Source organism: Homo sapiens, chromosome 21 (genome assembly GCF_000001405.40).
Source record: "Homo sapiens chromosome 21, GRCh38.p14 Primary Assembly".
Lineage (NCBI taxonomy): Eukaryota > Metazoa > Chordata > Mammalia > Primates > Hominidae > Homo > Homo sapiens.
The window spans coordinates 30816196-30830556 of record NC_000021.9 but is presented as its reverse complement, the minus strand read 5'-3'; the positions used below and the strand labels follow the sequence as shown (position 1 = coordinate 30830556).

Below are 14361 nucleotides of genomic sequence, written 5' to 3'. Positions count from 1 at the left end.
AACATGGTATGTTCTCCATGAAAAAATAAAATATGTATTAACAAACAGAATGCTCATAAATGAAATTGATGAAAATTACTTGCAGGTTATTCACAGCCAACTTATTATTTGGCACCATTGCAGCCTCTGTAAAAACACCTGGTTGGATAGATTTGTGTAGCAGTGCTTTTTAAAATAAAAAATACATTTTGAGTTAAAATTTGTATAACACAAACCAAGGCATTTTAAAGGTAACAATTCAGTGATATTTAGTACATTCCAAATGTTTTGCAACATTGTCTAGTTCCAAATGATTTTCTTCACTCCAAAAGGAAACTCTGTACCCATTAACTAGTTGGTATACAATTGTTTTAAAAGGGCACATGGGTGAATTTCAAGAGGTTATAGAATTTCAGTTTGATGTTTCAAAATAATGTTCAAAAGACCTCAATATATGGCTTTGTCTTGGCTTGAAGTGTTTGCATTCTTGCCAAAGCTTTTTTAGTTTAGCTATGTCAGTTGGGAAGAGTTTATAATCAGAGGATTTAAAGAGTCTCACATGATGCAATCAAGAACAGTAGTTAAACTATGGGACTCTGATGAAAAGAATTCGATTGCGTGTCAAGCATGGTCACTGGCTTTAAAATAGTACAGAGAAAAGCCAACAAAAATGTGGGCAATGAGTCTGTGCATTCCTTATAAGCATTTTATTAGAAAAGAATGAGATTACCTATGCAAATTAGTGGGAAGATGTTTAGACAGATGTGTTGTGCCCACCAGCTTGAGGTATAAAAAGCCCTGTACGGGAAGAGACCTTCATTAACACTTGGGTAACTTACCCTTCACAATCCATCTAAATCCTTCTCAATTGCTGCCACCATGACTCGTTACTTCTGCTGTGGAAGCTACTTCCCAGGATACCCTATCTATGGGACCAACTTCCATGGGACCTTCAGAGCCACCCCCTTGAACTGTGTTGTGCCTCTGGGCTCTCCCCTGAACTATGGCTGTGGATGCAATGGCTACAGCTCCCTGGGCTACAGCTTTGGTGGTAGCAACATCAACAACCTGGGCGGCTGCTATGGTGGTAGCTTCTATAGGCCATGGGGCTCTGGCTCTGGCTTTGGCTACAGCACCTACTGATGGACCAATGGCTCCAGTGACTACAGGACTCTCAATTAATTCTCTGCACAGAACAACCTGAAGAGCAATGACTGTCTTCCTACCTTCCCATGTGCTTGGGTGATACATCTTCCATCTTCTTGCTGACTTCTTGCTGTGGTCTTTGTCTTTGATGCTGTTGGACAAGTCACCCAGGACTCAGGTGCTGAACTGATACTCATCTACAGACAAAGGAAGCAAGATGCATTTTTTTGGTCATACTTGAATTTTAACAGTGAAAAAGTAGTTTGCCTCCCATGGTTGCTCTGCTCATGTATTATTAGCTTCTACATCAACATTAATGTATTACAAATTGGGTGTGGGTAGTAAGGGGATTTTCTGTCAGTCTCTTAATAAATCTATTTCCTTCAGCATAAATATTTTTGTCCTGGTTATTTATTTCACTTCTCTTTTATGCTCTTGAATTCATCAATCAGTTTAAACCCGTAATGGTTGACTTTAACCAAATTTTATTCTGATTTCAGACTATATAGCCAGGATAGGGTGATGCCTAACCATTTTTTATTTTTATATTGATATTTCAATTTAAAAAACTCCCTGGAAATGTCCCGTATTTAACCCAGATATACTGCAATTGTTGGCGTTTCTCAAAGCTGATTATAAAACAGGAATATTTCTTAGCTGTTGAATGCTAAAACATGTTTTCTTTTCTCTTTTCCTTAGTGACAAGATTCCATTTTGGTTCATTTCTCCTTTCCTACTGTTTATAGAACTCAGCTCTGGGGAGATTTGAACCCCTCATGTTGTTGGAAGAATTGGAACTAAATAGACTTAGTTATGAAACTCTATCTTTAAGAGTTCCTAAGATTTGATCAATAAAGGGAAGCCAACTACTAAAATCACATATTATTTTTTATCCTTTTTTGATAGATGGGTTTATTTTCTCCACTTTCTTCACCTCTGATTATACATATAACTAGTACTAAAAATGAAGTGTTTATTCTTTGAAATAATAGTTGCCATCAAAAGCACTTGAAATGGTATGTTGTCTACACTTAGAAAATGCTCCCTGTCGATCTAGAACTAGAAATAACATTTGACCCAGCCATCCCATTACTGGGTATATACCCAAAGGTCTATAAATCATGCTGCTATAAAGACACATGCACACGTATGTTTATTGCGGCACTATTCACAATAGCAAAGACTTGGAACCAACCCAAATGTCCAACAATGATAGACTGGATTAAGAAAATGTGGCACATATACACCATGGAATACTATGCAGCCATAAAAAATGATGAGTTCATGTCCTTTGTAGGGACATGGATGAAATTAGAAATCATCATTCTCAGTAAACTATCGCAAGAACAAAAAACCAAACACCGCATATTCTCACTCATAGGTGGGAATTGAACAACGAGATCACATGGACACAGGAAGGGGAATATCACACTCTGGGGACTGTTGTGGGGTGGGAGGTAGGGGGAGGGATAGCATTGGGAGATATACCTAATGCTAGATGACGAGTTAGTGGGTGCAGCGCACCAGCATGGCACATGTATACATATCTAACTAACCTGCACAATGTGCACATGTACCCTAAAACTTAAAGTATAATAATAAAAGAAAAAAAAAAGAAAATGCTCCCTGTCTTGCTTACTGAAAAATCTCTGCTTTATTGAAGCAAAACACTTTATGTTTGAATTAAAACTCATTCATTCACATATCATGTATTTATTGCACCTCTGCCTGAGAGAAGGTGCTTGATTAATTGTTCATTGACTTTACTTGTTAAATCTCTGCTTTATGGGTGCAAAATATTGTATTGTCCAATGTAAAGTTCATTCATGCATGCATCAGGTATTATTGGGCTGTGGCCACTGTGTTAAGATATTTACAGTTGTAAAAACAACTAAGCAGAGGTGTTTTTGATATGAGAAGCTGACTGTCTTCGAGATTTATTCATTCAAGAGGTACTCATCACATAGTATAGCACAGCATTGTCTTAAGATTTGGGGACACAAATCTTAGAGATAACTGAAACACAATTTATGCCCTTAAGAATTAAATACACTTTATTCAATATTTAAAGGGCTTTTAATAGTCTCCTATTTCATGTCAATCAATGTGCTGTAAATGACTATCCAAAGACAGATAGATATTCCTTACTCATTTGCTTCCTAGGACCTAAAATTGGAGACAGTCTGTGATAAGAACCATGTATACACACAAAGTGTTACAGGCTTGCATAGAAGGGAAGCTTCGGTACGTAAACATGACCATGAGAGGGAGTAAGAGTTACATATCAAGTTAGATATGGCTGTGCAAATGGGAAAAAGAATAAGGCTATTTAAGGATGAAATAGGTTATCACTGGCAAGGCTCCAATGCATAGGTAGGATGACCTGTTGGTGGAGAGATTCCAAGGGTGTTGAGTACTGGATAGGTGATTTGAGATCTCTACCAACCATAAGACTTTAGATTCTATCTTTATGACTAACATTTATTTTCTACTTTAAGGCCATAATTGTTTTGTATTTTGTTAATTAGTTTTTATTTAAAAAAATTTCAAACTTATGAAAAATTTGCTGTAATAGTGCAAAAAAGTCCTGCATTCTCAGATTTACATTTTTCTTCCATCGAATGTATTATTACATATAGTATATATGCTATATGATGTATGTGTATAGTGTGTGTGTATCTCTATCATCTATCTACCTATGTATGTATCTATGTATCTATCATCTATCTGTCTGTCTATCTATCTATCTATCTATCTATCTATCTATCTATCTATCTATCAACTCTCTCTCTGTCTGTCTATCTGGATAGCCATTCAGAATAGGTGGCAGATATCATACCATTTATCTTAAGAACAAAGCCAATATAACTATACAAATTAAATATTTAATATTAATATAATACTATTCTCTAACCCAAAGTGCATACTCAAATGTAATCACTTGTCTCACTAATGTCCTTTGTACTTTTTTTCCCCCTACTTCGGGATCCAATCCAGTATTATGTATGTCTCTTTAGTCTTCTTTAATGTGGACCAGTACCTCAACTTTTCTCTGCCTTTCTTGACCTCAACCAATATGAAGAATGCAGGCAGTCATTTCACAGAATGTATCTTGATTTGGGTTTGACTTTCCTCACGATTAGATTTATATCATGCACTTTTGGTGGAAATGTCATTGAAGTGATACTTTATCCTTCTCAGCACATCATATCAGGAGGCACATTATGTTGGCTCATGTAGTTTGGTTGATATTAACTTTGATCACTTGGGGAAAGTTGCGCCTTTCAGGTTTCTTTACTGTAAAGTTGCTCTTTGCCCTTTGTAATTAATAATTAATTTGTGAGTTGATACTTTGGCACTGTGTGAATATCTTATTTCTTACCAAGTTTTTACTTGTCAATTTTACGATTCATCCACAAATTTCTAATTTTACATCAATAAATCCCTTTACCTTTATTAGTTGGCATTCTACTGTAAGAAAGAAGTTTCTCTTTTCCCCATTTATTAATTTTTTGTTTGCTTACTTATATGTGCCAATGCTTATATCAGTATGGGTTCATGGATTCTTATTTTACTCAATGTATGATAATCCACTAATATTTATTTTGATCTTCAAAGTGCCTCAGATTTGGACAGTGGGAATACCTTCGTGCTGGCTTCTATGTCCTTTGGAAGTGTCCCCCATCACTATTTGATCATTTTCTTTCTTTCTGGCTCAACAAGATATTCCTGTCTGACTCGTCTTGAACTTTTCTGCTCTTATAATAGAGTCAGGGATTTCTCCCAGGAGCTCTGAATTTTTTAAGTGCAGACTGGTATTTAGAAAGTAAGGGCCTGGCAGCTGGGCGTGGTGGCTCATGCTTGTAATCCCAGCACTTTCGGAGGCCGAGGCGGGCGGATCACGAGGTCAGGAGATCGAGACCATCCTGGCTAACACGGTGAAACCCCGTCTCTACTAAAAATACAAAAAATTAGCCAGGCATGGTGGCGGCGGGCTCCTGTAGTCCCAGCTACTCGGGAGGCTGAGGCAGGAGAATGGTGTGAACCTGGGAGGCGGAGCTTGCAGTGAGCCGAGATCATGCAACTGCACCCCAGCCTGGGCGACAGAGTGAAACTCTCTCTCAAAAAAAAAAAAAAAAAAGGTAAGGGCCGGGCACGGTGGTCACGCCTGTAATCCCAGCATTTTGGGAGGCTGAGGGGGTTGGATCACTAGGTCAAGAGATTGAGACCATCCTGGCTAACATGGTGAAACCCTGTCTCTACTAAAAATACAAAAATTAGCCGGACATGGTGGCGGGCACCTGTAATCCCAGCTACTCGGGAGGCTGAGGCAGGAGAATTGCTTGAACCTGGAAGGCGGAGTTTGCAGTGAGCCGAGATTGCGCCACTGCACTCCAGCCTGGCAACAGAGTGAGACTCCATCTCAAAAAAAAAAAAAAAAGTAAGATATGGGTGCTAAGGGAGCTCACTGCTGTGCTGTCATTGCTGCGTATCATATGGTATGACAATCATTGCTATGATCCTTAATTGTCCTTTCTGATTTAAGAATGACACACTCAGAAGCTGCGCTGGAGCTCTGTGTGTGGGAACAGAATTCATTGAGGGACAGAATTTGCTTACGGTAAGAGAGAGGCTGAGCTTTTGGTAGGAGGGGAGGTCTTCAAATGCCAGAGTGTAAAGGTCCTTTGTGCTGACCAAGTGACTACACCAGTGGCCTCAGAACCCCCTGTTCTTCAACTAGATTTCGTACCACCTTTCCTCTGTTTCAGCCTTAATCCTGGCATTGATTCTTAATGTTGTGAGTCTCGGTTCTCTATGGGAGTTTGAAGGCTCACTCCTTCCTTTAGCTCCCTCTTGTCACAATTTCTGCTATGGCTCCTTTTTCTTTGTGATTTTCCTTCATCTCCTTTGCAACTTCCAGAAATGTAGTTTACCTTTATTCAATTGACATCATCCTTACAATTCTCTGTTATTGTTGGCTTCCACTCCTTCACTCCCTTACTATAATTTAATGGCTTCTGGGGAAGAAGGAGGGCGAAATCTGTAGGGTAACTCTGACATCTTGCACCTAAAAACCACGTATTCCTTGAGGAGGGTCAAGAAGGGATTAACAAGTTACAATGACAACTTGCCTTCTCTTGCAGCAACAGTGTGACAGATACAATAATAGACAATTTCACTACTTGCATAATAATTTTTAGAGGTAGATTTTATTATCCACCTATTATTGAAGAAGCCAAAATTCAGAAGTTAAATAATTTGTTTCAGGCTGTATCATTCATCTGTGAAGTAAAACACTAATATATAAGTAAGGAGGGTCTGACTCCCAATCCATTCCTCCACTTTAAAACAAACTGTACATCACTTTCCAAATTATAGAGCTGTTCCCTAGAAATATCCCTGCAGAATACCTCTTATGCCATTAATAATTATACCTCCTATGTTTACATAGTGAGTTAAAAAATACTTCCCTAGAATTTTATTTAATTCTGACAACTATCTTGGGAAATCAATATCATGAGGAAATTGATGGAGACTAAGTAATTTGCCTAAGTGGGCAAATGTTCAATAGGTGAGAAAGGTGAAGCTTGAATAAGAAGTTTTCTTTGTTCCAGTTTAGAAGTCCCATCTCTGTTTACTCTTATATCATATTCTCACACTGCACTGTTGAAGCCTGCCAACCAGGACCACCAGGAATACTCCTACAGATAAACAAAGTTGGGTTTATTAACTTGTTGCCACAACAGAGACCTTACAATAGGAGAAACAGCAAGATATCTCAATAAGATGGAGTGAGGAGGGTTTGTTACAGGATTTGGGCTTGCATTAGGTAATTTTGGAGAAGACTGTAGGAAGCCAGGTCTCTTCTAGGTTGCATACTGTATTAGTTCCAGAGCATCAAGCTGACATCTCTGATTCCTCCCATGCCCATTGTCCTGCCACTGATAACAAATGCAGAACATTGATCATGAGTCTTCCAATTTGACTTAATTAATTGTATTTGTCCATTCTCATATTGCTATAAAGAACTACCCGAGACTGAGTAATTTCTAAAGCAAAGAGGTTCAGTTGGCTCATGGTTCCATAGGCGGTATAGGAAGCATGGCTGGGGAGGCCTCAGGAAACTTACAATCATGGTGGAAGGCCAAGGGGAAGCAGTCACATCCTACATGGCTTGAGCAGGAGGAAGAGGGCAAAGGGGGAGGTGCTACATGCCTTTAAACAACTTTGAAACTCCTGAGGACTCTGTCATAAAACAGCACTAGCGGGATGGTGCTAAGTCATTGGAAACCACCTCCGTGATCCAACCACCTCCCACCAGGCCCCACCTCCAATATCTGGGATTAAAATTCAACATGAGATTTGGGTGGGGACACAGAGCCAAACTATATCACCTATTTTATCAAGATTCTCTGCCATTTTCACAAGCTTTCCAAAAAGATTTTAATAATTATTAGGCTTTATTCTTTATGTTGATACCAAGTCCTTAGATTTTCTAAGAAATCCTGTCAGGACTTCATTCCTGATATTTCTGCCTCAGTTCACACCTGCATCATTTCTTGCCTGGGTTACTAGCCCAGCTACTTATCCATTCTGCCAGGCAGTCTCCAATCCATCTTCCATGCAACAGGCACAATAATCTCTCGAAATGCAAGTCTAATTGTGTAGCTCTTTTCTGCAAACTCTTTGGTGATTTTTTTTTTATTTCTTACGGTTTTCAGGACAATGATCAAGTAGAGGCTCACAGATCTACCAAATTTTCTAGCCTTATTTCCTACTTCTCCTTAATGTGCTTCCTTTTCCCCTGCAGTGGGGACTATCACAGGTTTTTGTTCCCTTCTGCACTCTTTTCAATCTAGTGAACTCCTACAGATCCTTCAAAAGATCTTCCTCCACCCCAGGGTGCTCTCCTTTTCCCAGTTGAAAAGTCTCATCTCTGTTTACTTTGATGTCATATTGTTCACACTGCACTGTTGAAGTCCACTAACCAAGACCACCAGAAATACACCTATAGTCAAACAAGTTAGGCTTATTAACTTGTTGCCACAGTGGAGATCACAGAACATGAGAAACTGCAGGATATCTCACTAAGAGGGTGCGAGGAGGGGTTTGTTATGGGATTTGGGCTTGAATTAGGTGATTTTCCAGAAGATCGAAGGAGGCAGAGGTCTCTTCTACATTGCATACTGTATTAGTTTCCCATTGTCGTTGTCACAAATTACCACAAATTTAGTGGCTTAAAATAACACAAATGTATTCTTGTATAGTTCTGGGGGTCCGATGTTCAAAATGGGTCTTACTGGGCTCAAATCAAGGTGTTGGTAACGCTGCATTTATTCTGGATGGTCTAGAGCAGAATTCATTTCCTTGCATTTTCCACTTTCTTGAGGCTGCCTGCCGGCTGGATGTCCAGGCACCGCATTTCTTTGGCCTCAAGCTCCTCATCTGTCAAATGTATGTCCTGTTCCTGACCTGCTGCCTCTGCTTGGGGGCCAGGGTTGGGGTAAAGGGGTTTAAGAATCAAAGCTGATGCCATCCCTCCCCTGCTTAAAACCCTTTTGTGGCTCCACACTGCTCTCAAAAAAAGACATGTGTCCTGGATGTGACTGTGTGGGCTGGTCCTGCCTGCACCCCAGCCCTCCCACCCAGCCATTTCTTGGCTGTGTCCCTTCTGTCTTCAAAGGACAACCGCACGGCACCTTCCCAGCTCTCTCCTTGATTCGGATACTGATACAGGAGTCTCCTGTCTTCCCTTTCTATTTATAAGAACCCTTGTGATGACACTGGGTTTGCCCAGGTAATCCAGGATCATCTCCCTAACTTAAGGTCAGCAGATTGGCAACTTTAATTCAGACTTGCTGTATAACATACAGGATTAGAATGATGACATCTTCAGGGAACATTATTCCGCCTATCGCAGCCTAATTCTAGGATCAGCTGTTTCAAAGGATTTTATTTAGGAGGTGGAACAAGACTATGTTTGTAATTGGTAAAGAAGCAGCAGTCACCAAAGGTAACGTGTGGTCATGGTTATGGTTTGTGTAGCTCACTGCACTTGTTTTTCTCCCTTCTCAGATGTGATTACAGATGGATCTTATTTTTGTCTCACTCTGGCATCATCACAGCCTGACCTCATCTGATTTGGTGTTCTGGAAGTTGCAGATGGGAAGTTCTGGTTTACTGTTAGTGTTATTGGGGCTGCTGTTTCTCTTTCTTACTGGTGCCTTCATTAGCTGATGCCTGTGATTCCCTCATTACACGATGTATTCTGTAGGTTCTTTGAGGTCAAGCACCATGTTTTATTCAATGTTACATCACCTGTGCTTTGGATCCCAGACATTTGATAATTTTTTTTTTTTGAGACTGAGTTTCTCTCCGTCACCCAGGCTGGAGTGCAGTGGCACAATCTTGGCTCACTGCAACCTCTACCTCCCGTTTTCAAGCGATTCTTGTGCCTCAGCCTCCTGAATAGTTGAGATTACAGGCACCCACCACCACGCCCAGCTAATTTTTGTATTTTTAGTAGAGACAGGGTTTCACAGTGTTGGCCAGGCTGGTCTCTAACTCCTGACCTCAGGCAGTCCACCTGCCTTGGCCTCCCAAAGTACTGGGATTACAGGTGTGAGCCACCATGCCCAGCTGATAAATTTTTTTGAATTAATGTAATTATTTAAAACCTTAGAGAAAAAAAAGCCCATTTCCTTGTTACTTAAAATATGGCCTGCAGGCTGGGCATGGTGGCTCACACCTGTAATCTCAGCACATTGGGAGGCCAACGTGGGAGAATCACTTGAGGCCAGGAGTTTGAGAGCAGCCTGGGCAATATGATGAAACTCCATCTCTACCAACACCACCACCATCACCACCAGCACCACCACCAACAACAACAAAAACGAAAATTAGCTGGACATGGTGGTGTGCACCTGTAGCCTCAGCTACTCAGGAGTCTAAGGCTGGAGGATTGCCTGAGCCTGGGGAGGTTGAGGCTGCAATGAGACATGATCACACCACTGCACTCCAGCCTGGGCAACAAAGTGAGACCCCATCTCAAAAAAATATGATCTGCAGACAGGACACATTGGCATCACCTTGTGCTTGTTCAAAATTCAGAATCTCAGGCCTCTCCTCTATTAAATTAGACTCTACACTTTAACAAGATTCTCAGGTGATTTGTGTGCACATAAAGTTTCAGGACTGGCCCAGTTCTGTTGACTCTTATCCCAAAGGAAGTAGAAAGGGAGATAATTCTCACTGTTGATTCTTAAAATAATTGATGAAATAGTATTGACATTTTTATCAAGAAAAGAAAATTTTCTCTTTCTTATTATTTTTCCTATACTTTTGTTCATTTTTTTATTGCTATTTACAGAAAAACCAGATTATGTTTTTCATTTCCATTGAGGATAGAGGAAAAGCACTTAAAATTGTAGCAGGAGAGCCTTCTATTAGATAAAGGGACATATTTCCAGATTCTAAAGCTTGCTAGGCAGGGAACTCTTTGGGTATTCTATAAAACTAAACATGTTAAGCATTGTTGTCTCTGAAAATAAGCTGTTATTTCTCAGACTTCAATTCCTTTTTAGTGACTTGCCTCTGAGGCTTCTGACATTATCTTTGATAACGGTATTTGCACTGCTGTGTCCTGTTTCTTTTTCTTCCCTTTCCAATCATCCTTCCCTCTTAGAAATCTGCTTTGCAAGTGTGCCTTCCAATTTCCATTTTGAAGCTTCTATATCTAATGTACTAGGGTGCAACTTCAGAATTTTTAAGACTTTCCTCATGAACAACCTTAAATTTTAAGAAAGAAATCTTTGGAACTGGTCATACTTTTGGTTAAATTTAAATTTTATTTTATGTTTAGTTTTGGTCAGCAAAGACTTTGATGACATAATGCTTTGAAGTTGCCATTTGCTGTTTGGCAGTAACAGGAAGCATTATTTTAAAGGTTGTCAGAAGGATTTGCCCTCGGTCTTCCGGAGGCCAACCAGTGGGTAAATGATTTGAAGCATCATGATTCTATTCTTCAGTGAGATCATCTTCACACTGAGGGGGTACAACTGACCCTATCTGTTACCCTTTCCACTAACTCAGCTTGCAGGCTGGTGCTTTAATTTAAATTTATACACAATTCCAGTTGCTGGCTCTAACTCTGCCTTGGTGTCACAAGAAGAGGACCTTAATTCCTCTGTTTTGCATCCCCAAGAATAGAGAATAGATGTCAAAACTGACCTTCTTATCCTACCAGTGATGAAAAGCGTGCAGCAGAAACGTGCCTTCCTTTGAACTGCTTTTTCATGTTCATTATAAATCACATGTAAGGTGTTTCTGACCAGAGTCCATGAATCTACTGTGCATCCAGGCATTGTTGTGGTATCACGTTATTTCTTAAGAAAACCACATAGGTTCTGCATCAAATGAAGTTAAGCTTCATTAACCAGATGCTTGCTGTGATAATTAACCACACAGCCTCACAAACGTGGCTTATCCCTCAAAGTGCTGTGGTAGCAACGTACTGAAATTTTGTCTTAAATTAGCCTAAGTCTTGGTCAGCAAGTTCTGATCCTGTCACATGACAGGTTTTTTTTTTTTTAAATATATTTTGCCTGGCAATTTTATTTGACTTGGTGTGATTTTTGACTTCAGAGCAGGTTTCTTGACCTCAGCTCTATTGACATTTTGAGCTGGGTAATTCTTTGTATTGTGAGGGCTGTCCTGTGCATTGTAGAATGTTTGGCAGCATCCCTGGCCTCTACCCATTAGATGCTAAGTAGCACCCCTTCCAACTCTGAGTTATGACAAACAAAAATGTCTCCAGACATTGTCAAATGTCCTCTTGGGAGCACAGTTGCCCATAATGATGTCACATCAGCTCTAGTCTTAGCCATTAAACCTGGCTGAAAGAGTGTCTCTGTTTTCTCCTTCACCGTTCCACATTCATCCCATTTTATGTTGTATATTTTGCTAAAGAGGACACCTTTTCAGGTACCTTATTAAAGAGCACTGCACATTTCTCAAAGTTTGACCAAAGCACCGCCTTTATTGGAATCACCTCGTCTGCTTATTAAAAATGCAGATTCCTTGGCCCCACATGAGACCCACGGAATCAGAATCTAAAGGAATGGAGCTCAGAAATATTTGTCTAAAACAAGTATCCTGGGAGATTCTTGCACAGATTAAACTTTTAAAACTCTTATGATATTCTTGTGAAGGTTTCAATATTTCTGTGATTCCTGTCACTGCATTTTGTTTTTCAAAGTGATGGCAGCTGGAAGCTCATTAGTTTGTCTTAGTAGGAATGTGTAATAAGATGAGAAAAAGCACTCTCCATAGTCGCATGCCTAATTGACCAAATTCCAATGAGAGAGTGTTGAATTGTCATATTGACTCATCAGTGATTTTTGATGGGAGAATCATACAATGTTTAGGGTGGCAAGTCCCAGGAAGTCAACTTGTCCCATTTTTCAGTCGGGTCACGCGAGGCCCGGAAAAATGATTTGCCTCAATCCTCACAGCAAGTGAGTAGCCAAGTTAGGTTTAGAATATTCTTTCATTAATTCATTCAACTGAAACTTATGGAAAACCTATATTACGCCCAGTAGTGAGTGAGGCAGTGAGGAATCAAGGCTGATTAAAAATACTATCTTGCTCTCCTGGAAATAAGCATGTTAATGAGGCAGACAGATACCCATCACACAAGTGAAGGTTATATAGGAACTACGATTAAGTCCTACAGATACGAGGAAGAGGTTGGCCTACTGTTATGCTACAGATGGGCTCCAGCTAATCAGGAATGGCAGAAAGGCCTCCCAAAGGAAGTGATTGAGCTGGCATGTGAAGGTTGCATGGGAGTTGATCAGAAGGAGAGGAAGGAAGAGAATTCCTCACAGAACAAACGGCATGTGTCAAAGCTTAAGAGTGAGAGGAGCATGCGAAGTTTGAAGAACTAAAAGACAGCAAAACTTAACGAAGAGAGAGTTGAGAACTTTTAGGTCAGTTTAAAGATTAAAAAATATTATCCTAAAAACAATAGGAGCAATTGAAACACTTTTTTTTCTTGTTTTATTTCTAAGACTGTTACTGATTTATTCATTTGTTATGTTGAGGTACATGCCTTCTATACCTAATTTGTTGAGAATTTTTATCATGAAGGATTGTTGAATTTTGTCAAATTCTTTCTCTGCATCGATTGAGATGAACAAATAATTTTTATCCTTCATCCTATTCATGTGTAAAGTATATTACACTGATTAATTTTTGTATGCTGAACCACTCTTGCTTATCAGAGGTAAATCTACTTGATCATGTGTATGATCTTTTTAATGTGCTTTTAAATTTGGTTTGCTAGTATTTTTGCATCTATGGTCATTAGGGATATTGTCCTATCATTTTATTTTCTCATAGTGTCCTTGTCTGACTGGTATTAGAGTAATGCTGGCCTCATAAAATGAGTTTGAAAGTGTTTCTTCCTCTTTAATTGCTTGAAGGACTTTGAGAAAGATTAGTATTAGCTCTTCTTAAATGTTTTATAGAATTCAATGGTGAAGCAATCTGGCTCTGGATTTTTCTTTGTTGGAAGATATTTTATTACTGATTCAATCTCATTATTTGTTATTGGTCTGTTAAGATTTCCTATTCATGATGTATTCTTGGTAGGTGGCACGTTTCTAGGAATTTGTCCATTTATTGGAGGTTATTGAATTATTTTGGCATATAATTGTTCACAGTAGTCTCTTATGATCTTTTATATTTTTGGAGTATGTTATAATATCTCTTCTTTTATTTCTGATTTTATTTGTCTTTTCCCTTGTTTTATTAGTCTAGCTAAAGGTTTGTCAATTTTGTTTATCTTTTAAAAAACCAACTCTTAGTTTTGTTGCTCTTTTCTGTTTTTCAGATTATATTTCAGTTATTTCTGCTTTGATCTTTATTCCTTTTTTCTTGGTAACTTTGGACTTAGTTTGTTCTTTTTCTTCTAGTTCCTTCAAATATAAAATTATGTTGTTTAGTTGAAATTCTAATTTTTCTTAATGTAGAGTTTATTGCTATAAACTTCTGTCTTAGAATTTTTGCTGCATTCCAAAATTTTGGTTTTTTTTTTCTGTTTTGTGTGTGTGTGTGTGTGTGTGTGTGTGTGTGTGTGTGTGTGTGTGTGGAGATATTTTTCATTCCTCATTTGACCCACTGGCTGTTCAGGAAATGTTTAAGTTCCTCATATTTGTGAATTTTCCAGTTTTC

At 39.1% G+C, this 14361-nt stretch overlaps 1 protein-coding gene across 1 annotated transcript; it reads left to right on the top strand.

The window, feature by feature from the left end:
* The first annotated feature begins 797 nt into the window (after window positions 1–797).
* KRTAP7-1 (keratin associated protein 7-1) lies at window positions 798–1518 on the top strand. The gene has a single exon (NM_181606.3). The coding sequence runs from the start codon at window positions 859–861 to the stop codon at window positions 1120–1122; it is 264 nt and encodes an 87-aa protein (NP_853637.2). The 5' UTR covers window positions 798–858; the 3' UTR covers window positions 1123–1518.
* Window positions 1519–14361: the final 12843 nt, after the last annotated feature.

Coding starts and splice junctions, on each gene's coding strand:
- KRTAP7-1 (NM_181606.3), top strand. CDS start 859: ATGACTCGTTACTTCTGCTGTGGAAGCTACTTCCCAGGATACCCTATC.